This window comes from Homo sapiens, chromosome 10 (assembly GCF_000001405.40).
Source record: "Homo sapiens chromosome 10, GRCh38.p14 Primary Assembly".
In the NCBI taxonomy this organism is placed as follows: domain Eukaryota; kingdom Metazoa; phylum Chordata; class Mammalia; order Primates; family Hominidae; genus Homo; species Homo sapiens.
Window position 1 is genome coordinate 108,815,361 of NC_000010.11, and position 25,558 is coordinate 108,840,918.

The window sequence follows — 25,558 nt, forward strand, 5'->3', positions numbered from 1 at the left end:
TCTCGAACTCCATGTTAATTTGGAAATTCAGTTATAGGAGAGAACCCCAAGTTGTCATAGACAAAAACGAAAGGCAAAGAATGAAAGACATGAATGAAAATAAAAATCAGAGATGTGGAAGTACAAAATAATGTAATTGATCAAGATTTACAAGAGCCCAGTGCAGGAAAGGTAAGCAAAATTCAAACTAAAAAGGCTTTGTGTTTGGGAGGTCAATGCACTTTTCAAAAAATAATTATATAATTACATAGATTTAACATAAATCTAATTATAGTCTCAGCAGGAATTTTTGTAGAAATTGACAAATTGTTTCTAAAATATCTATGGAAATACACAAGCAATTCCAGGAGCATTTTAAAAAGCAAACTGGAAAACAGAAGACTAGATTTCTAGGAATTATACTACTGGACATCAAAATATTTATCAAGGTAATATATTGAGTTGTGAAAAAAAGCGTTTTTACATATGATGCTGAAATAACTGAATATTCATTAAAAAAATAAAAACCTTGATTTATATCTTACACTGCACACAAAAATAAATTTGGGATGAATCATATACCAAAATATGTTAGTTAGCTTGATTTAATCATCCCACAATGTATACACATATCGAAACATCACATTGTACCCCATAAATATATACAAAATGGTGTTAAGAAAATGAATAGGGATTTAGAGTACCTACTAGAAAAGTAAATCTGCAATGATAATACATAGACTAAATGGTACAATAGCAGTATTCTCAGGCAATAGAGAGTAGGGATTTCCTGCAAAGGGCGCTACGTGAGTACAGGCATACAGGGGTGAATGCCTGAGTAAACCTTGTTAAGTTATGGCATTTTCATGTAGCTTGGCATAGCCGGGGCATAGTATGTCAACATGTATGTTTTAAGAGATGAGGCTGGATAGGCATGCAGGATTTGACATACAAATAAATAAGACCTTATGAAGGAGATGGGAATTTTTCAAAGGATTTTAATCAAGTGGAAAACATGATTCCATTAGTATTTTAGAAAGACCACTATGTAGCTACATGGTGACTGGAAAATGGTATGAGAATGATGGCAAAGTAGTCATCTAGAGAGAGTGTCAGTAATCCACATGGGCTTTGGTAAGGAGCCACACTAAGGTATATAAAGTATGGGCAAAAGAACTGAGGAGATGGAATGTAAAGCTCTTGGGGGATCAAATTAATAGATTAATAGGAATTCTAGGATCTGTTGAGCCAGGGATTTAGGAGAAGAGCCTACAGTCACTCTTGTAGCAAAGAAGAGTGTTGTTAATTAAGAATAAGATGGAGAGATAAAGGCAAAGTTTAGGATGTAGCCAGGGAAACTGATTCCGAGGGAAATCTAATCACATAACTGAAATGGCAACCCGCAGTGTTCAGGTTGGAACAAATGAATTTAATGAAGGCTGGGGAAGCTAGTGGGATTGAAGGTCAAGGTGCCTCAAAGAGCAGACCCAATGAAAATTAGAAAGTGGAGGTGGTAAAATATGAGGAGATCTCCTCTTCTCAAAAACATGTGACATATCTCCTGTATCCACAACAATGGCACCAAACACAACCTATTAATGACTATAAAACCTAAACTTCTCAGGTCAGGTAAGTCCTGAGTTACATTTCAACCTCCAGAATATTATCTTCAGGGGTAGGGAAGTTCAAACTTTCCATCTTAAGGTAGGAGTCTAAGTCTGCTGAAATGAAATGGCAATAGATAAATTAACAGGAGAAAAGGCATACAAATTTATTAGCATGCATATGCACATGGGAGTCCAGTTAATATGAGACTTAAATTAGGGTCAGATGATTTAAGTCTTCATATAATACAGAAAGAAATAGAAGCTTAGAGCATGGTGACAGGTTATGACAGGGAGGCAGGAGAAAAGGCTTGGCACACAAAGGCTGTCTTTTTATGCAGATGAAATCTCTGAGATAGCAGCTCTCTGGAGGAATGGATAGAAGCCTGTGCTAATAGTTCCTCTGCCAGAACTTCAAAAGCGTCAGACTTTTTATCTCCTTTTCCCGCGAATCAATCTTCTCTAGAAAGAAAGATCTAGAAAGCCTCTGCATCTGCTGTTTACCTCACTAATGTAGATTCTGTTTACAGATGCAAATTTCTTCCACATAGTGACAGTTTTTCAGAGCTGTTCCTGTGTCTGCAGCCCCTTCCAAGAGCCATATCAAAATATGCCACAGAAGTACATTTTGGAGTGGCATGTTTTGGCTTCTTCTACAAGTTATCCCTGGACTTCTAGACTTCTATATTCAGTGGACATCTCACATTTTACCCATTTCAAATCCAATTTATAGTACTAGGTCAGGGTTAGCATTCAAAACATTTCATAGCCAGAGCATCGTACGTTTTAACTAATCAGAACAGATGCCAGTTGACTCTGAATGGCAACCAGACATGAAGAATTGGAGCAAGCCAAACCACAACTTTCTGGCTAAATATCTGACATGTCACAAAACAATTTAACTTCCAAACCCTTTTGTTCTCAACTTCAGTTGATGATACCATCACCTAAGTCACAAAGTCAGATGCCTTAGAGTTATTCTCTATGCCTTTGTTGCATATAAGTGACTTCATGTCTATCTTTTCCTAACTTATCTTGTGGCAGACAATTTATCATTACTGTATCTTCAGTTTCTAGCACAGAATTATGTACTACATTTAGGAAATATTAAAAGCTTCTCTTTTTTAAAAAAGGAAGGAAGAGGATAAGTAAAAAGGAAGAAAGATAAGCTGTGTCTCTCCCTTTCAGCATACTCCACTACCCCACTACGTAATGAAGTAGCTAAAATACCTTCTTTGCTATTATTTTACTCCAAGTCTCAAATTTCAAGTTACTCATTTAAATTAATTCACATGGGACATGCACAGAGCAATTATATGTAGGCCACATGCCTAATTCAGATACCATAATCTAGAGTGCCCTTTTAGTCAAAAGGCAGAGTATTTTTAAAAGGAAAATCCTAGCTGAACTGAATTTAACAGACTTTAATTGAGCAAAGAATAATTTGTGAATCAGGCAGCTTCCAGAGCCATAGTAGCCTCAGAGACTCCAGCGGAGCAACATGGTGGAAAAGGATTTATGGACAGAGAAAGAATAGTGACAGATAGAAGACAGAAGTGAGGTACAGAAACAGCCGAATTGGTTACAGCTTGACTCTGACTTATTTGAACACAGTTTCAACAATTGGCCACCTTTCATTGGCCAAAAGTCACTGACTGGTACAAGAGTAGGCTACAGTCCGTTTACAACTCCCTTAGGTTATAGCTCACAATGTACAGAGAAATCTTCAGGCCAAACGTAAAATATTTTGTTTGATTTAGCAGTATAAAAGACAGTGTTATGGTTAATTTTATGTGTCAAATTCACTATGTTAAGGGATGTCAAATAGCTCATGAAAACATTATTTCTATGTGTGTCTATGATGGTATTTCCAGAAAATACTAGCATTTGAATTGGTAAACCTGAGTCAGGGCCATCTGCCTTCCTAATGCAGGCTGGCATCATCCAGTCCAACCCATTCATGGCCCACATAGAACCAAAAGGTGGAGGAAGGGTGACTCTCTATCTCTCTCTCCCCTCTCGAGATGGGACATCCTTCTTATCCTGTCTTTGAACACACAATCTCTCCACCTCTGCTTTGGGTTCTCAGGCCTTTAGCCTTGGGCGAAAAGTTACAACATCAGCTTTCCCGGTTCTTAGGCCTTTAAACTTGGACAAAATTATGCCACCAGATTTCCTAGTTTTCCAGCTCAGAGATGGCATATCATGGGACAACTTAGCTTCCATAATCACATGAGCCAATTCCCATAATAAATCTCCTTTTATAATCTATATTGTGTGTGTGTCTGGGTGGGGGCATATAGATTTGGATCCTGTTTTATTTTCTCTGAAGAACACCGACTAATAGAGGGTATTTATTCCCCAGACACGTCCAAGGGTGTCATTCTTTAAAAAATATTAACAGAAGCTAAATTAAGGCATCTAGTGGCATCATTGTCTCTGGACTGTAGCAATTTTCAGTTCAGTTTGGAAGACAAAGTTTTACCTGTGTATGTACAAGGAGCCACTCCAAGATAGCACAGAAGAAAATGCTTAACTGAGTAGAACTGATTCTTCTGCCATGAGAACTCTCCTGTGTCCTGAATTATGTGTATAATTTGTATAATAAATCCTGATAGTAGGTGTTTCAAGTTAAGAAAAGGACATCTTTATAACCCTATTAATATCATGGTCCAAATTAATTCACTAAATCAAATTCTGCAGATCACTGTTCATCAACAGTAATGACTGAGCTGTCCAAATAAGCCATAGGAAACAATGAAGAAAAAGTCTTCACCATGATAAATAATGTTGACACTACTTGTCCCTTAGGAACCACAGTCTATAAAATCAGAATCAACCCTCAAATACACCAATCAAAAAATGTGGGGAATCAAGTGATTCCCCACATTTTTTACTTTCTCATTTAAGTCAATATTACATTTTCTTCCCAAATGAGGGATCCATTTCTACAAAAAGAATTTATTTACCTATAAGTCTAAATGCGAAGCAAAAGCTCATCTCATTTTTGATCAAATTATTTTTGTATATTAAGAAATTCAAGCTTATGGGCTTTATTTCAAACTTAAGCAACACACATTATCATACTTAGAAAACTAAAGAAAAATGCAGTTTTCTTTAATAAATTATTGATTTAGCAATGCACAAAATTTACTAAAATCCTGCAAAAATTAATGCCTTGTTGTTAGACTAAAGCAAAAATATAATTAGCAGTCACTTCACAAAACATGACAGTGGTCAGCATTTTAAAAACAAAGTTTTATTTAGGAAATATAATTTTCTTCATGGACTCCACCTTGGCTTTTGACATCTCTTTGTGAGCAAGGACAAAATGTTTGTGAAAAACCAGAATGTTTTGTTATCCTATGCTTTACACTACTTTAAGTGAAATATGCCTGCCTTCTACCACATATTTTCACTATTTCTCCTGACCACAATGATGATGGCAGCATAAAGCACAGGTAATTAAATGCCTTCCATTATAAGAGCTTTCATAATTATTTTTATATTTAAGAAGTAAATGAGAGATTATGAAAATAAAATAGGGTTAAAGCCAAATAGTATTAACAGAATTCTCTTGAAATTTTAAGCATCATGATAAAAGGGGAGGAAACAAAATCATATACTTGGATGAAATGGCCATAAACTCCAAGACAGGCAGATTCAGGTCATGTTTTTGCCCACAGAGCCATCAGATGGGCCTGAAACAAAATAGTAATTAATGAGAAGAATTTTGATATTTTGTGTGTTTGAGTCTCCCTCTTGCAATAAATATTTTTAAAGTTCCCTATTGTTTTTAGAATAAATCACCTGGTAAGCCAAGTTATACAAATCACCAATTTTGTTGCTTCTTCTGGCTTAAACACTGAGATAGAAATTTTGCATATTTCATATCAAAGACTGATAATAATTTCATGCAGTTATTATCCTTAATGTAGCGAAAAAAGTTTTAAAGATATTAATTGTCCTATTATTACACCATGTATAAATGATAAAGCCAGAAACAAGAAATCCAGTGGGTTTAAAAATGATTCCTCATGTTAATTCTAAATCACAATTGTAATCTTGAGGCTGAATAATTTCATACTCAAATCTTATTACTCCCTTCTTCTTTACTCATTGCCTAGATTCATTTTGATTTGTATAAGAATCTACTCAGCTGATAGTATTTTAAGGTCCTCAAAAGCATCTTACTCTTTACTGTGGTCTGAATGTCTCTGCCAAAATCTATGTGTTGTAAATTTAATCCCCCAATGCAGCAATGTGGGAAGTAGGGCCTTTTGAGAGGTATTTAGGAGTTAGGCGGAGCCCTCATGAGTGGATTAAGAAATCCACTATAAAAAAGACCTGTGGGAGTTGGTTTTCTCTTGCCCTCTGCCTTCTGTCATGTAAAGATGCCATAGGAAAGCCTTCCCCAGATGGCAGCGTCTTGATTTGGTATTCTGTTATAGCAGCAGGACACAAACTAAAACAATCTTTTTGTGTCTTTTATTGCATGTCTTCATCTACTTGTGTTGCTATAAAAGAATAACAGAGGCTGGGTAATTCATAACGAGGTTTACTTGGCTCATGATTTTTCAGGCTGCACAAGAAGAATGATGAGCCAACATCTACTTTTGATGAGGGACCCAAGCTGCTTCCCCTCGCGGTAGAAGGCAAAGGGGAGCCCGCATGGAGAGATCACATGGTGAAAAAGGAAGGGAAAGAGAGAGGAGGCAGGTGCCAGGTTTTATCTAACCAGCTCTTGTAAAAACTAACAGAGTGAAGACTTACTCACCCCTTTTCCAATGTGGAGCATGAATCTATTCATGAAAGATCCACTCCCATGACCCAAACATGTCCCACTAAGTCTCACCTCTAATACTGGGCATCAAATTTCAACATGAGGTTTGGAGGGGCAAATATCCATACTACAGTACTCCATAAGGCTGTGGAGAAGGAAGCACCATTTAGTGGACCTGGAACTCTATCCATTGTCTGGCTAAAAGGGTGCTGAGACAAATGGCTAAATCCCACATTGATGTGGTAGGTAGGGCTTTCCATGTAGACAACCATAGTGAAGTCTTTTAGGTGGTTAGAAAGATTACTCACCAAAGGGGCTTAATACATTACTGGCTTCACCAGTGACAGCCTTTAAAAACTAGAGATTTTCCCATAGAGGGTTAGAAAAACCAGCTGTGATTGAGCTATCTAGCATTAAAGACAACATTCATCCTAGAAGCACCATTAATACTGGATTTCTTCTTTTACCCTGGTCATGACCCTAATCAAGCTCAAGTTTAACTATGTCCCTCTGTCTCCCTTCTAAACTTTGAACTGCTCTCTATATTTTTTCTAATGGATCATTGCTCACTGGCCCCTGGTGTCAGAGAAGAATGCCCAGACACATCAAATTTCTTGTTGTTTTCCAATTAGCTGTGCTTCTTTCACACCCCATCTCTCCAAATTTTGTCTTTTCTAAACCAGATGATTTTTTACTCATGTTTCAAAATGTAGTTTGACTATCTTCTTTATGAATCCTTTCACAAATATCATACTATGAAAACATGATTTTTTTCCTGTTTCTGTTCTTTTACTGCACTGAGTGTACATCTCTCTGAGAGCAACTGTCAAATTGAATCTGTTCTTACTTTGTTTTTATCATGTTTGAAAATTGGCTAGTGGATCAGTAAGTAGAAATTGATCATCAAGTAGGACTTAGAGACAGTTATTGTTGCCATCTATTCTGGCAGTGGAAACTAAATGATGCTTTTACAAGAAGATTTATTTGAGCCCTTGTAGATATTTGAAAGGTTCTGATAAAGTTGGGGAATTCTTTCTTCTACTCCCCAATCACAACAGCCTTTTCTACCTCTCACCTTACCATTTTACGCAGTTAGTTATAAGGCCCATGATTGAAACCAGATGATGAGTCTTCCTGGCCCTCAGAAGTGAAGTCCTTTAAAGATCTGTAAAAAGGGGAAAAATTACTAGATATTTCCTACCAAAGCGGTGTTGCCTGGAATTGGATCTAAGTATTTTATTCACTTCGTGGACATTTTATGTTTTTAGATTTCCCTATATTAATTTAATTATCTGCCTCAGGGTAGCTGATTAAAGGCATATTGTGTCCCTTTGAAAGTGAAGACAAATTGCAGCTGAGAGGCTGTTGAAACAGACAGTGAACAGAACATGACTGCTAAATATTTACTAGCTTCTGATGGCAAGGAATCTCTTTGATTTTTACCTCAGTAATATTGGGTGTAGGGGCCTTAATCAGCGGGACTACAGCATTAAGATTGCACCAACTAATTGTGAGGTGCTATTTATCCTTTTCAAGTTTTAGAAAGGAGCAAATTTGGCTTATAATTGTCACAACAGTAGCCATAATCACTATTTCTCTAAATAGGTCTTGCATAATGAGTTTCAATATTGAAGGCCCTGTTTTAATTTATATTGGGCTGTGTTTATTATTTTAACCAAGGAGGCAAGTTCATAGGGTCCAATATTATCAAGCCAATTCGTGTACCAGAAACTTCATTTAATTTTATTTTATTACTCATTGAGTGAGTGTGGATATGCTAACTATGGGCTATTTTAGGGCAATGAATGCTATCACTATGAAGAAATTAGGCAAGATAATAGTTCTGATGGTTCAGATGAGGCTTATCTGTTTTGTGTTTGGTTGTTTTTCCCCTAAGAGTATAAAAAGTATCTTGTTTAAATTGATAGCAATTCCCAGGCATAATGGTAATTTGAAGCCCAATATTGATTAAACCACAAAGTTTTGCCAGATAATACATTTTAGCATATTTTAAAGATGATTCAAATCTAGGCTATAGAAGAGAATAATATTATATAATTATTCATTACATATATGAATCTCACCTGTGCCAACAATTTATATTTTTATCTAATTTTTTTCTTAAAGTTTTAGTTTGTGGAGAAACTAGTTTTGCACCTGTATGGGGGCTCGAGTATCCTTTATCTGAAATGCTTGTTTTGGAAATCAGATTTTTTAAGATTATGGAATATTTGTATTATACCTACTGGTTGAGCATCCCTAATCCAAAACAATGCAAATATGGAATGCTCCAGTGAGCATTTTCTTTTGAGTGCCGCATGGCACACAAAATATTTTGTATTTTGAAGCATTTTGGATTATTGAATTAGAAATGCTCAACCTGTATGACACTCTGATTCCTCTTGAAGAAATCCAAACAACATAGAGAAGTCTTCTCATAAATTTTGCAATCTGCTTGTGGAATTTGGACACATATGTTAAGCAACTAAATGACATTTACAAACCAACTGTTAGCAAGTTCTAAATGTTATTACAAATTAAATACATAAGAAATCCACTTACATTTTTAATGCTCTCTTTAATACTATGTTTTATTGTCTTGTTCTTCTATTTACTAAAGTTGTAAAGATCTTTAAGAAGCATTACAAAAATAACCTGCATCAGAGACACGTGTGTTTTCTCAATAATAATTTTATTGCTTCTCTTATTTTGTTAGTGCAGCATGTGATTATTAAAACCAAGCTCTGGTGATTAAAATAAAGATATAGCATTCTGCAATCCAGGCTGCATCTCACTCACAGGTGAAGAGATTTGTGAAAAATGGTGGACCTTAAGATTTAACCACAATAAGTGACACCTTGGGACGTAACGTATTGTGTTAATATAAGACTCCAACAATTAACTGGAAGTCAACCCCTGGTTATCAACAGATATTCATGGACTCATAAGCAAGGATAAGGAAGGGACAGTTACCATAATAGTGCGTATTAGAATATCGTTACCAAGGCAGGAGCATGGAGCTTCATGATTTTTTAGTGAAGAGTAGAATGCTTTTATAATTTAGAATTATTCATCCCAAAAGCTCATTAGCCATCACATTATCCAGTGCAACAAAATTTACCAAAGGAAAAAAATGGGAGGGGAATAGTTAGCCTATACTTCCAAGAGGGAAATATCAGAATTTGCAATTTTCCCATAAGTTATTATAGTGTTCTCATCCAATATTGTCCCCAGTGATACTGTGCTCTCTTCTCACGGGGCTGTAGGTGGTAATATTTCCCTGAGCCCCTCAAAGACAGGAGGATTCAGAATAACTATAATAAGATCTAGGGCTGTTTTGCAGGCTTCACTTTTTAACTAAAAAATAACTAGAGATGGATCAATTGTTCAAAGAATCCCTGATAACTCATAAGTATACTGACAAATCTCTGAGTCCTTTTGTTTTGACATGGTGACCCTGTCAAAATGACACTGGAATTCTAAAATTAAGAGTTCCACTGTCCAGTTATGATTTTTAAAATAGTGGGATATGAAGCCCTGAAAAATCTACTGTCTTATTAAAAACCTGAAAACACCGATGAATATTGTCAAAATCAACTTTTACAGGATTTCAAAAATGAATAAATGCTTGCAAGAATAAGTAATATTTATTCAAGAAATAATTCTGAATTAAATTATAAGCTTTACACTTGTTGTGCTCTAACTTGCCTTAAACCCATCCCCTTCTCTCCAGCTCTGCAGAAGCCATAAAAGCAGCATCCTTACAACCAGGGAAGTTATGAACAACATGCCTATCAGCCACTGAGGGGAGTATATTACAATTGGAACTTTCAAAAAAGCCCCATCCCCAAAGTATTTTCACTATGTGACTGTTATTGGAAGCAACCTGTAAAAGATGCATTCACAGGATTTATCATTATTTGGCCCTTCCTAAGAATTTACTCAGTGTTAAAAGTTTAATACCCAGGAATTTGAAAACAGCAAAAAAAAAAAAAAAGGAAATTGTTTAACATCATACATGCCTGGGTGGGGAAAAACAATAGGTTTGTCAAAAAAATTAAATACCTTGGAAGTCAGATGTCTATGGGAAGTTTTTAAAAAGCTCCAACATACTCCTTTGAATCTTGTGGGCCACACATATGTGCTAGTATATGCATATGCTTTGAAAAAACTTAAAAAAAACACAATCTTTTGCATATGTATGACTTGAGGTTCTGCATAGGAAAGAAGTGAAGGCTAAAAAAAAGTTGTGAACTGCTGGAGAATTGAAGAGATGTCTCAACACAACAAGAACCACTCGACAAAGGCTGGGAGACTGTAAGGTTACATCAATTAAGGAATTTTCTGTCTATTAAATGAGTATTAAGGATATCAAGTGGAGGCTTAAGCAGCCACATATGACAGGAAATACATGCTTTACACGATTAGACCAGAAAGATCACTAAACAAAGGATTGACAACAGCAAGAAACATCAGCAAACAGCAACAACATGAAACTCTGAAGTGTGTGTGTGGGAGAGAGTTCTGATTTACAATATTGTCATGCTATATTATTTAAATATAATACATTTAATATTAAAATTTAATACTTTAACATTAAAATATTATCTATTTTATATTGTATTATTTTAAATGTCTAGTTTCAACATAAAATTGTAAGACATATAATGAAACAGAAAGTGTTGCTTACATATTTTTTTCACACAGGAAAAATAACTATGATAGAAAAGGTGAATATGGAAGCCAAGATGTTTAGACTTTAAATTTTAAAAAGGCTATAAATCAGCTATTATAAATATGTTTAAAGAAATAAAAGGACTGTTGTCCAAATAATTAGAGGATATATGAGAATAAAATTCCATGAAATAGAAAAGTTCAAAAAAGAAAAATTATTTCTAAAAGAAGCAAATATAATTCTGGATTTGGGAATTCTAGAAAAAAAAGAGGCATAATCAGATAGAAAAAATATTTGAAGAAATAATGGCCACAAATTTTACAATTCGATAGAAAACATTAGTCTCTGCCTTCAAGAACTTTAACACACTATGAGTAGGATAAACTCAAAGAGATCCACCTTAGACAAATTATAATAAAACTATCAAAAGTCAAAGACAAAGGGAAAATTTTGAAATCAGCAAAAGAGAAGTAACTCATCATATACAAGAGATCTCCAATAAGATGAACAGCTAGCTTCTCATCAGAAATCACTGAGCCCAGGGGCAATGGGTTGATGTATTCAAACTGCTGGGAAAATAAACACTATATTAAAAAATCTGTATCTAGAAAAACTATCCTTAAAAGCACGCAGAAGAAATTAAGACATGTCTAGATAAATATGAAGAGCATTTTAACAAACTGTCTCATAAGAACTATTAAAACAAGCATTTCAGGCTGAAATAAAAGAAAAAGAAACAGTGGGAGCAACCCATATCCATACAGAAACATAAAGAGCATCTGTAAAGGTAACTACTTTGGCAAATACAAATAATATTATAAATGCATTTTTATTTGTAGCTCTATTTTCCTATTTTTAAAGACATCTGCATAAGCAATAATTATAAAACCCTGTTGATGGTCTTATAATTATAAAGAAGTAATTTGTATGATAATGGCATGAGAGGGGATAGGGAAATATTATTTTTTGGCAAAATTTCAAATAATATAGAAATTAAGTTGATGTTAATCCACACTAGATAATTTGAAGATAAGATGTATATTATAATTCTCTGAGAAAGCACAAAGAAAATAACTAAAAAATGTACTATACATACAAGAAATTAATATACTAGAGAATACCTAGATAGCAGTAATGGGGAAATTTTAAAATTGCATGAGTCATATGGAAAATAAAAAGCAAAATGACAGATGTAAAACCCACTTTATTAATGATTACATTAAATAAAAATGGGCTGAACACTCCATTCAAGAGACTGTCAAAATAAATTGAAAAAACGTAATTCAACTACATTTTATGTACAACACACTTTTAAAACATAAATAGGGTGAAAATAAAATATTAAAAAAGATGTATCATGCAAAATGTAGTCAAAAGAGAGCTGAAGAGGCTATGCTAGTATTAGACAAAACAGTGTTTAAGCAAAAAATATTATTAAAGAAAAATAGAGAAATTTTATAATAATGAAAATAATAAATTCAGAAGACATAAACATTATAAACATACATGCATCCAACAGAGTCAATAAAACATATCAATCAACAATAGTCAGGAATGGAGAGAAACAATTCACAAATAATAATTAGAGATTTCCATACCCTACTTTTAACAATTGATAGAAAAAGGAAGCATATTATCAATAAGGAAATAGAACACATAAACAATAATGTATGTCTGGTAGGTAGAATAATGAATTCTTGAAGATGTACACATGCTAAACTCCAGAGTCACTGTTTTTATTATGTTACATGACAAAGGGGAATTACGGTTGAAGATGAAATTAAGATTGCTAATCAGTTTACTTTAAGATGAATACGCTATCCTGGATTATACACATATGCCAAATATAATGTATTAGTTAGTTCTCACATTGCTATAAAGAAATATCTCAGACTGGGTAATTTATAAGGAAAAGGGTTTTAATTGACTCATGGTTCCACAGGCTGTATAAGAATTATGGCTGGGGAGGATTTGGGAAATTTACAATCCCGACAGACAGTGAAGGGGAAGCAGGCACATCTTACATGGCCAAAGCAGGAGAAAGAGAGAGGGGGTAGGTACTACACACTTTTTAAACAACCAGATCTCATACTAACACTATCAGGAGGACAGCCTCAAAGAGGAAATCCACTCCCATGATCCTATCACCGCCTACCAGGCCCCAACTCCGACACTGGGGATTACAATTTGACATGATATTTGGGTGAGGACACAGACCCAAACCATATTATTCTACATTGACCCCTACCAAATCTCATGTTCTACTCACATTGCAAAATATAATCATGCCTTCCCAGGAGTTCCCCAAAGCCTTAACTCATTCCTGCATTAACTCAAAAGTCCCAAGTGCCATCTGAGACAAAGCTAATCCCTTTTACCTATGAGCATGTAAAATGTATTTAAAAAGTTCATTACTTCCAAGTTAAAGTGAAGGTATAGGCATTGGGTAAATACTCCCTTTCCAAAAGTGAGAAATTAGCCAAAAGAAAGAGGCTACAGACCCCACGCAAGTCCAAAACCCAGCAGGGTAGTCATTAAATTTTAAATCTCCAAAACTACCTATTTTGATTGTATGTCTCACATGCAGTGCACACTGGTGAAAGCTATGGGCTCCCAAGGCCTTAGGCAGCTCCGCTTCTGTGGTGCAGCAGAGCTCAGTCCCCAAGCTGTTCTCAAAGGCTTGTATTAAGTGCCTGTGGCTTTTCCAGGTGCAAGATACAAGCTGTTGGTGTATCTACAATTCTGGGGTCTGGAGGATGGTGGCCCTATTCTCACACCTCCACTAAGCAGTACTCCAGAGAGAACTCTTTGTGGGGGCTCCAAACCCACATTTCCCCTCCACACTGCCCTAAGAAGAGGTGCTCCATGAGGGCTCCACCCCTGCAGTCGGCTTATTCCTGGACATCCAGGCTATTCCATATGTCTTCTAAAATCTAGGTGGAGGCTCCCAAGCCTCAACTCTTACACCCTGCATACCTGCAGGCTTAACACCAAATGGAAGCCAGTGAGACTTACAGCTTTCACCCTCTAAAGCAGCAGCGCAAGTACTTGGGCCCTTTGAGCCATGGCAGGAGCTGAAGCAGATGGGATGCAGGCAGCAGTGTCCTGAGGCTGCGCAGGGCAGTGGGGCCCTGGGCCTGGCCCCTGAAACAATTTTCCCTTCCTAGGCCTGTTGGCCTCTGACGAGAGGGGCTGCTGTGAAGGTCTCTGAAATACCTTCAGGGCCTGGTTTCCATTGTCTTCGCTTTTAGTACTTGCTTTCTGGCTATGCATATTTTTGCAGCTGGCTTTAATTTCTCCCCAGAAAAATGAGTTTTTTTTTTTCTACCACGTAGCCAGGCTGCAAATTTTCTGAACATTTACACTCTGTTTCCCTTTTAAATATAAATTCCAGTTTCAGGTCACTCAGTTTGCTGATGCATATGAGCATAAGCTCTAGAAGCTGCCAGGCCATTTAGTGAGTGCTTTGCTGCTTAGAAATTTCTTTCCTCAGTTACCCTAAATCATTTCTCTCAAGTTCAAAGTTCCACAGATCCCTAGAACAGGGGAACAATGCTACCAGTCTCTTTGCTAAAGCATAGAAAGCATGATATTTACTCCAGTTCCCAGTAAGTTCCTCATTTTCATCTGAGTCCTCCTCAGAGTGGACTTCACTGTCCATCTCACTATCAACATTTTGGTCACAACCATTCAGCAAGTCTCTATAAAGCTCCAAATTTTTCCTCATCTTCCTGCCTTCTTCTGAGCCCGCCAAACTGTTTCAGCCTCTTCTCGTTACCCAGTTCTAAAGTCACTTTCACATTTTCAGCTATCTTTATAGCAATGCCCTACTTCTGGTACCAGTGTTCTGTATTACTTAGTTCCCACATTGCTATTAAAATATCTGAGACTGAAACTTGGTAATTTATAAAGAAAAGAGATTTAATTGGCTCACAGTTCCACAGGCTGTACAGGAAGCATGGCTGGGGAGGCCTCGGGGCACTTACAATTATGGTGGAAGGTAAAGGGAAAGCAGGCATGTCTTAGATTGCAGGAGTGGGTTGAGGGGTAGCAGCAGGTGTTACATACTTTTTAAACAACCAAATCTCACAACAACTCTCAATCACAAGAACAGAACTGAAGGGAAATACCGCTCCCATGATCCAAGCACCTCCCACCAGGCTCGACCTCCAACAATGGGGATTACAATTTGACACGAGATTTGAGTGGGGACACAGAAACAAACCATATCATATAATCATAAGGGCTCTTAAAATTGGGTAAGGGTAGTACAATAACAGGTCAGAAGGATATAATGTGAAAATTCCACCTGCCATTGCTGGATTTGAAGATGGCAAAGAAAAACATCATGAGCAAGAAGTACAGGTAGCCTGTAGAAGTTAAAAAAATGACAAGGAAACAGCGTATTCCCTAGAGACTCCAGAAGGGAGTGAATCCCTGTCAACATATTGATTTTACTCAAACTCTGCCCTTAAACAATTGTTATATATTTGTGTTGTTTTAAGCCACTGAGTTTGTGGTAATTTTGTACAGCAACATTGGAAAACAAATGTGATAACTAGATCTAAAACATCTATACAGCACTCCACCCAAGAACAGAATACACACTCTTCTTATGTACATGTGAAACATTCTCCAGGCTATAAAATATGTTACATTATGGACAAATCGGTTATAGGAAAAGATTAAAATTATTATATAAAGTGTGTTATTCAACCACAATAAATGTATAAATCAATAATATAAAGATATTTGGGATATTATATATAGGTGGAAAGTAAACAGCAGCATTCTAAGTAATCAACAGGTCAACTAATAAAACATAGGTAAATTACTAAATAATTTTATATGAATAAAATCATATAGTAAAATTTATGTGATGTAGTAAAAGCAGTGCTTAGAGGATATTTATGACTATCAAAACCTATATTATAAAATCAGAAAGGTCTCAACCCATCCACCAAATTTTCCACCTAAAGAAACTAGAAAAATAAAAGCAACTCAGCCAAAGCAAGCAGAAGAAAAAAAATAATAAAGAGTATGATGTAAAAGTGTTGCATTTTCTTCACAACCTCACCAGCATGTTATTTTTTGATTTTTTAATAATAGCCATTCTGACTGGTGTGAGAAAATATCTCACAGTGGTTTTGATTTGCATTTCTTTAATCAGTCAGTTCAACCATTGTGGAAGACAGTGTGGTAATTCCTCAAAGACCCAAAAATAGCACTTCCACTCAACCCAGTAATTCCAATACTGGGAATATAACCAAAGGAATATAAATCATTCCATTGTGAAGACACATGCATGCGTATGTTCATTGCAGCACTATTCACATTAGCAAAGACATAGCATCAACCCAAATGCCCATTGGTGATAGACTGGATAAAGAATATGTGGTACATATATGCCACGGAATAGTATGCAGCCATAAATAGAATGAGATCATGTCCTTTCCAGGACATGGATGGAGCTGCAGGCCATTATCTTTTGCAAACTAACACAAGAACAGAAAAAGCAAATACCACATGTTCTCACTTATATGTGGGAACTAAGTGATGAAGACACATGGATACATAGAGGTGAACAACACACACTGGGGCCTTTCAGAGGGTGGAGGGTGGGAGGAGGGAGAGGATCAGGAAAAACAACTAATGGATACTAGACTTAATACCTGGGTGATGAAATAATCTGTAGAACCAACCCCCATGACTTATGTTTACTATGTACAAACCTGCACATCCTGCACATATATCCCTCAACTTAAAATTGAAGTTAACAAAAGAGTACAATGAAAAATAAATGAGAGAAAGAATAAAAGCACTAGAGAAATAGTACCAAGAAGCTATTTTGTAATAGATTGTCTAAGAAATAAAGAGAAAACCTCATATTATTGAAATTATGAAAGGCAGAACATGAATGCCGACCTTATAAAATTGCATTAGATTGTAAGATAATACTATAAACACTTGCTTGAAAAAAAAAACTTCAGGCCATGCACGGTGGCTCACGCCTGTAATCCCAACACTTTGGGAGGCCGAGGTGGGCGGATCATGAGGTCAGGAGTTCAAGATCAGCCTGCCCAAAGAGAAACCCCATCTCTATTAAAAATACAAAATATTAGCCAGGTGTGGTGGTGGGTGCCTGTAATCCCAGCTACTTGGGAGGCTGAAGCAGGAGAATCACTTGAAACTGGGAGGTGGAAGTTGCAGTGAGCAGAGATCACGCCATTGCACTTCAGCCTGGGTGACAGTACAAGACTCCATCTCAAAATAATAATGATAATAATTTTCAACCCAAAATGAAATGGACAATTCCACAATAAACTATTGAAACTGAATGATGAAGACATTCTAAAGCTGAATAAGCTTATAATAAATACAAAATAATTTTGTAATTAAAAAATACTTTGCACAAATTATGGCCAGGCCAGATGGTTTTACTGGTGAATACTATTCAACATTTAAAGAACACACAATAGCATACCTTAACTATTCCAAAAAAGGGAAATTCTAAACTCATTCTAAGAGGTAATTATTATTCCAATAGCAAAACCAGAAAAAGGCATGGAAAAAAACTCCACACCAACATTCCTTGTGAATATAGACATAAAAATTCTCAAGAAAATGCTAGCAATAGAATCATTAACATGTAAAATAGATTATACACCATGGCCAAATGAAGTTTTTCTCAAGAATGTTTCACCATCTTAAAATTAACCAGTATACTCTATGGAATAAAAGTCTTAAGATACTTAGAACTACAGTATCTTATCAATACACATAGAAAAATCATTCAGACAAAGCCAACACATTTTTCATGTGAAAACACTCAACACATTAGGAATAAAAGGAAAACTCCTCAACCTGTTTAAGGATATTTAAGAAAAATGCACAGATAACATCATACTTAACAATGGCGAAATATTATGTATTTGCCCCCTAAAGTGAGGAGAAAGACAAGATGCCCACTCTTGCCAGTTATATTCAACATTGTATTGGAGGTTCTAGCTAGATCATTAGGTTAGAATAACAAAGAACAAGGTAAGTCAGATCAGAAAGGAACAATTAAATTGTCTCATTTCGCAGAATGGCATGACATTCAATGTAGAAAAATCTAAGAACACCAAAAAATTACTATGAGAAGTATTATACACATTTAACAAGGTTGTACAATAACATTTTCATAAATGAAAGTTAATTGTATCTCTATAAATTGTTAGTGAAAATTATAAAAATGCAATGAGAACACATTTGTGTTTCAATAGAATTATAAATAAAAAAATACTTAGGAATAAATTTAACAAGAGAGGTGTAAGCCTTAGACACTGAAAACTATAGCGTATTGTTGAAAGAAATTAAAATCTACTAAGATGGCAACACAGTCCACGTTTATAAATTGAAGTACTTAATGTTGTTAAGATGACAATACTCCCAAAATAATCTACAGCGCCAATGCAAGCATTAATAAAATCATAGCTTTTTTCTAGCTTAAATTGATAAGCTGACCTTGAAATTTATATAAAATTGCAAGTGATTCAGACAACTCAAAACACCTTTAATAAAAAGAAAGAATAAAGTCAGTGGGTTCACACTTTCTTATTTCAGAACTTACTACAAACTAGCAAATGACATTAATCAAGATACTGTAGTACTACTATAAGGATGGACATATTGATCAATGGATGGTAACTGAAAAGTTCAAGAGCCTATACATTTATTATAAACTGTTATTTGACAAGGTACAAGATAATTTAATGGTGGGAAATAATCTTTTCAACAAAAAAAACTGGTAGGACCAAAGGAGAGGTACAGGCAAAAAAAAAAATTAGACCCTGTTCTCATATCATACATTAATATCAACACAAAGTGAATCATAGACGTATACATAAAAGCTAAAACCATAAAACACGTGGAAGAAAATGTAAATTTAGTGACCTGAGCTAGGTAATGCCGTTTAGAGTATAAGTGATAAAAACAATAGATCAATTGGACTTTAGCAAACTTAAAAATTTTGTATTTAAAGGGCACAATAAAGAAAGTGAAAAATCAGCTCATGGAATGGGAAAAAATATTTATAATAATATATCTAATAAGGGACTTACATTCAGAATATATATTTTTAAGTCCTATAATTCAAAATTAAAAAGACAAATAATCAAATTAATAATGGGTAAAATAGCCGGGCGTGGTGGCTCATGCCTGTAATTCTAGCACTTTGGGAGGCCGAGCTGGGTGGATCACGAGGTCAGGAGATCGAGACCATCCTGGCTAACACGGTGAAACCGTCTCTACTAAAAATACAAAAAAATTAGCCCGGCATGGTGGAGGGCACCTGTAGTCCCAGCTACTAGGGAGGCTGAGGCAGGAGAATGGCATGAACCAATGAGGCAGAGCTTGCAGAGAGCCTAGATTGCGCCACTGCACTCCAGCCTGGGGGACAGAGTGAGACTCTGTCTCAAAAAAAAAATAAAAATAAAAAATAAAAAAATAAAATAATGGGTAAAATATTTGAATAGTGATTTTTCCAAAGAAGATATACAGATGGTCAATAAACACATGAAAAATGCTAAGCCTCATTCATCATTAGGGAAATATAAATCAAAACCATAATAAAATACTTTTTCATACCCACTAGTATGGCTAAATTTTAAAAAGAACAATAATAGTAAGTGTTGGCAAGGATGTAAACAAATTAAAACCTCATATATTGCTAGTGGAATTTTAAAATGATACAATCCTTAAGAAAACAGTTTAACAGTATCTCAAAATATTATATATGGAGTTTCCACATAACACTGTAATTTTATGCTTAGGAATATATACCCAAGAGGAAAAAATGTATTTTCACAAAAACACCTGTGCACAAATATTCATAGCAGCATTACTTGTAATAGCAAAAAAGGTTTAACCATCCAGTGTCCACCAGGCAGTGGATGGATAAACAAAATGTGCCTTATCTATATAATAGAACACATTATTTAGCAATAAAATGAAATCAGGTACTGACATATTCAAAACAGTTTTGCCTAGAATACCTGTAAAAACAGCAGTTATAAATGACTAGATATTTTATAATTCCATGTATATGAAATGTTCAAAAAAGACAAACGCATATGGAAAGCAAGTAGATTAGTCTACTAAAGTTAAGGGAAGGGGGAATGAGAAGCTTAACCATCCAGAGGGCCTTCTAAAGACAAGTCACCAATGTCTAACTGAAGCAGTCCAGTGCCTCTGCTTCATAGCTGTGTTCTTTTCTATCCCTTTCATGAAATTTGCCAATAGAATTAGATGTTAGAATTTTTTAATAGGAATGTCTTCTATTTACGGTAAGTATATCAACTGGCTGCTATCAAAGTTTCATATATACATTGGATTCTTTAACCACTCGGAGTTTAAGGGTGCCTACTCCCATTCATTAGAAAATCAGTGTATAACTTTTGACTCCCCAAAACTTTCTTAATAGCCTACTGTTGAAGCTTTACTGACTAGTCAATTAACCATATCTTGTATACAAATATATACTGCATTTTTATAATAAAGGAAGCTAGAGAAAGAGAATGTTATCAAAATCTATTCATTAAATGGATATGGATCACCGTAAGGGATCACACTGAATAGATTGAAGAAAAGGAAGAAGAAGAGAGGTTGGTCTTGCCGTCTCAGAGGTGTCAGAGGTGGAAAAAAATCTTCATATATGTGAACCTGTATGGTTCAAACCCGTGTGTCTGTGTGTATGTGTGTGTGTGTTTACATATATATACACACACATATATATACATACACACACACATATATGGAAGTTTATTGTTCTCCTGTTAAACTATTTTAATATTTCCTAAGGAAATTATTTGCACATTTCATCTCAAGCCATAAACAACTTATTTTTTGTTGTTCATACGATACTTCGTTTATTTCAGCTGTGATGTTTTTACAATTCCCCTTTTATGGGAATTTTACTTCTGAGAGATTCAATGATTTTCCCAGAGCCAAACATTTATCTGTGACGTACTTCTACCTATCATTTTGTTAATTATTTAATTTAAATTCGATATCCAATTTGGTTACTTCTTAAGGCCAAATCCTACCTGATTTTTAAAGTCACGAGTTTGGGTCTCTTGACAATAACAAGGGTTATACATGAGCGAGTATGACTAATACCTGAATAACACTTTCTTATTTCATCTAAGAGAGTTAGATGAAAGGGTTGTTGATATTTGAAAGAAGTAGTCAAATGATTCCACTAACTAGGAAATTAGTAACAATGATAAACAAATGAAATCTCCAAATCCTTCAGAGATTCTAAACTTACTTTTTAGTTACTTGAATTGACAGTGTTATTTTCCAAGTAAAGAGAAAGCGTAACTATAAGAGTGTGAGGCTTTGATCTTGTGCATAAATTTTGTTGTTTTGTTTTTCAACTTTTCTTTTAGATTCAGGGTCCATGTGCAAGTTTGTTAACTGGGTATATTGCATGATGCTGAAGTTCGGAATACGAATCATCCTGTCACCCGGGTACTGAGCATAGTACCCAATAGTTTTTCAACCCTTACGCCCCTCCCTAGCTACCCCCTCTAGTAGTCCCCAGTGTCTACTCTTGTCATCTTTAACTCTCATTTTTAAGTGAGAACATGTGGTATTTGTCTGTTCCTCTGTTAATTTGCTTAGGATAATGGGTATCAAGTCCATCCACAGGTAAACAAATATTTTTTGACAAGAGTTCTTTTTTTTTTCTCAGCAGGAACAGAAAAAAAGGCAATATATTTTTAATTAGGAAAACACGCAAACTACAGTGTAGACTTCCAAGATAGGCATAATGTTATGAAATTATGAGATAAAGAAAAATATGCTGAAATTACTCCCTTTCTTTTTTAAGTAATTATAAGATCTGTAATGGAGATTGATGGTGAAACTTATCTGGAGGTTATACTTTTAAATTACCAGATTAAAAGCGGTTATGGAATACTTTTAAAATCTAGATGTATTTGGAGCTCATTTGCTCAGCCCATTTTCATCATAATAGGATTTCAAAAGTGAGTGCAGGGGAAGAAAGGACCCATTACAGAGAGGTCACCTGATGCAGCCCTAATGACAATACTGTATTGTTCCTTTTAGCACTGTCTGGAGGGCTTTGTCCAATCTCATTTGAAATTTGCACACATTTCACCTTCCTCATTATTTTTAGCTTGAATACCTATTTTCTAATGGCAGTAATGAGTAGTCTGCCAACACAGTCATCTTCCTCTAAAGATGAAAATAGCAGTCTTTTGGTATGTGGGGCAAAGAGCAGAATTGGTTCACAGTTTCTAGGAGATAAATGAGTAGCTGAAGTTGTACATCTATTTTTGAGTAGAACTCAACTCCCTGAGACAAGCATTATTTTAAGGGAATGAAGAAAACAAAGAGGAGATTCTGGAAGCTAGATAGCGTGTTGTTTGAGCTATTTCAGATAGCACTGAGGATACCTTGGAACCACAGTCACCCGCATCTCTCCTCTGGTTTTCAGATGTGGAAAACATGGAGAAAACTAACTTTGCTTGAGAGATTGTGCTAATATTTGTTATGTTTCAATGTGTGAAAGCATTGTTTCAAAATATGATATCAGTTAGTGCTAGGATTCACTATTATAAATTAAATCAAAATTTCCCAGCTTTCTTCATTAGTAATTATATCACAGAGACATCAAGCCTAGAAATACTGTAGAAAAATATAAAAGCCCAACACGATGTCTCTCACTATTTCTTCATAAAGGCCAGCTATAGCTAAGGCATCTTTTGTAGTTATTATTATTTTTTATCATTTGACGGTTTCTTCTGCAGCCTACCAGCAAGAGCCTCTTGTTTCTACAGGCACCTTTTGATTTCACATTGCCATTTTCTCACGACTCAAGTGAGCACTACCATCTGCCGAGGCGATGGGTCCCTGCTAACCACAGCAGTACAGTAGGCACAGGAAGAAGCAAGGTACAGAGAGGTGAGAAGAAAGCTCTGGATAAAGGCACAGACGTTGCTGAGTCTTCCTTTAGGAGTATTTTAGACAACATCTTCCACAGGCAGGACTTATCTGTATCTGGCAACATACCAGATACATACCTCTCATAGAAGATAGCTATGATACTCTGATGATAAACAACTTGGATAAATCAAATCCTGCATGAATTAATGTTAAAGATCAGGGAGAAGAGACATTGGAAATGTATGAATAGCATATGTGATGAACCAAACTGAATGCATCAAAAAAAATAGGAAATTTTTAAGGAAAGGAAGAGAAATTGATGTCTAGCATTAGACTAATAAGGCCTGATAGCCATTGTGAATCCAACATCAAATGTATCAAAAAATCATACTGTACCCCATAAATATATAAATTTACTATGTGTTAGTGATGAGGAATTTTTGCTCCTTAGTTCAGCTAAAAATGCGTTCTTGTCAAACAACCAGAAAAGATTAGGCACATGGACACATTGAAGGGTGAGGAAAGCAGAAAAAAAGGAGTACTGCTAATAGGCTCCTTCGTAAAATGGCTTTATGTGTTTTCTCTTCTCCTTTACACAGCATCTGTTATCTGGAGACTGGCTGCTCTCAGTGAAAAAAGAAGGAGTACTGCTAATAGGCTTTCACCTCACAGCCTGAATGCCAGGCCACCACACAAGAACTGAAGAGGCCAGGCTCCTCCCCATTCTCCCAGTGTGCAGGTGGGCCCCTCATCCATTGCAGGCATGTGCAGAAAAGACCCTGGGCAGGTTCCCTCATCTGCACAAAAGCATCTGATGTAAACACTTGTGGGGTGAGTCGGAGATTCTCTGGGGACCCTCCCTCATCTGACTCCTGCATCTATCACTACCATTACCTCAAAAACAATAAAAAAGTTAAATTGGCATTTTTTTTTAACCTAAAGGCTAGTGTATCTGGCAACATACAAGATACATACCTCTCATAGAAGATTAAAAGCTTTTTCGTACCAGGGATTGTGTCTTTCACTTTGTATCATTCAACCTAACACAGTGCTTAGCACCCAAAAACTACTCAAAAAACTTAGCCAAGTTCATTATATTCTAAATATTAAATAAATCACACACATACACATATATGTAAAGCTGTCAAAGACCGATTTCTCTCTTCAGTAAGATTGTCATACATAATGAAATGTAGTAAAAATGTTCAGTCATAACTGTCTTCATTCCCTTCTGCTTACAGTTATTTAGAAAACAATATTTGTATCCTAATGCCCATTGAACTCAAGCTAGAAAAATATTAAGAGTGAAAGATTGAAAAGTGAAATGATTTAAGTCAAAGGAGGGGGGAAAATGAGACTTTAATGAATGTAAGTATGTTAGGGTTTAGGTTTGTATTCTAGAAACAAGCCAGACAGTTTTCTATTGTGCCTATATATTATATAAAGAGCTCTAAAATATGCATAAGGTACTAAGTGTCTTTTGAAATATAACAAGAAAAAAATATTTTGTGTGGCTGGAACAACCACTCAGGTAAATAAGATAAGACTTGAGACTTCCAGGAGACACACTCCAGTAACAAAAGATGTTCCTTAAACTGCCTCTATGGGAGTTAATTTGGAGGAGGAGGGAAAAATGAGTAGTCTGAAAAGAAGAATAGGAAGGAGACAGGATAATTGGGGGAATATAAATAGCAGGAAAAACAAAATAGGCACTTTGGAGCACTACCCTTGATATGTATCAACTCTGACTATTTCTGTGTCACCCTACCTACCCAAGATTCAAATTCCTGGGAAAGAATCAGGAGATTTCAGATTTGGCTTGGGGAGTACAGGGAGCCTCTACTGACAGTCTTACCAAGACTTAGAGTAGAAGAGAGTTGTACTTCAAAGGAAATTTTAAAAACTTGTTAGCAATAGCTGGAGGAAAGGGTGCTGTACAAATCTAAGTATCAGATGTTCATTACACATAGTTATGGCACGAAACTATTACTAGTGACTACTTAATAATATCCACATGAATAATGCACTTTGTGGCAGGTTCTGTCTTAAGACTTACTGATATTAACTCATTTAACCCTCACAAAAACTTTCTTTATTCCTCTTTTGCAGATAAAGACACATGTACTTAGAGAGAAAGAGTTGATTTAAAGTTACACAGCTATGTAGCAGCAGAAACAAAATTTGAGTCCAGGATACCTGGCCCCAGAATCTACCTCTACTTCACATGGCTTCTCAAATACATGCTGCCTGGAAAATAGAGCAGCCAGTCTCCAGCTAAGAGATGCTGTGTAAAGAAGAGAAAAAACGTAAAGCCATTAAACCATTTCATTATACCACTTTATTGCATTTATTGAAAGAGTGTTTGAACTTTCATTTCATGAATCAGAATTCAATTCTTGGCCTCAATTTCATGAAAGCTTGGAAGATTAAAAATCTCACTTTTATACATGAAAGTTAAGTGCTTAACGATTCAGTGCATATAATCAAGGTTTGGAGTTTTTCAAAAGTCCACTATCTTCTCCGTCAAAAATCAGAGACTTCAGTGCCTAAATGTTATCAAAAGAT

The 25,558-nt window shown here is 35.6% G+C and overlaps 1 long non-coding RNA gene across 1 annotated transcript in view; it reads left to right on the forward strand.

Moving 5' to 3' along the window:
* LINC02661 (long intergenic non-protein coding RNA 2661) overlaps positions 1–25,326 on the forward strand; it is a 132,148-nt gene extending 106,822 nt beyond the window's left edge. Inside the window, exons 4-5 of the long non-coding RNA NR_187538.1 lie at positions 23,593–23,732; positions 25,103–25,326. This is a non-coding gene — a long non-coding RNA (long intergenic non-protein coding RNA 2661). The remainder of the gene's footprint in view (positions 1–23,592; positions 23,733–25,102) is intronic.
* Positions 25,327–25,558: the final 232 nt, after the last annotated feature.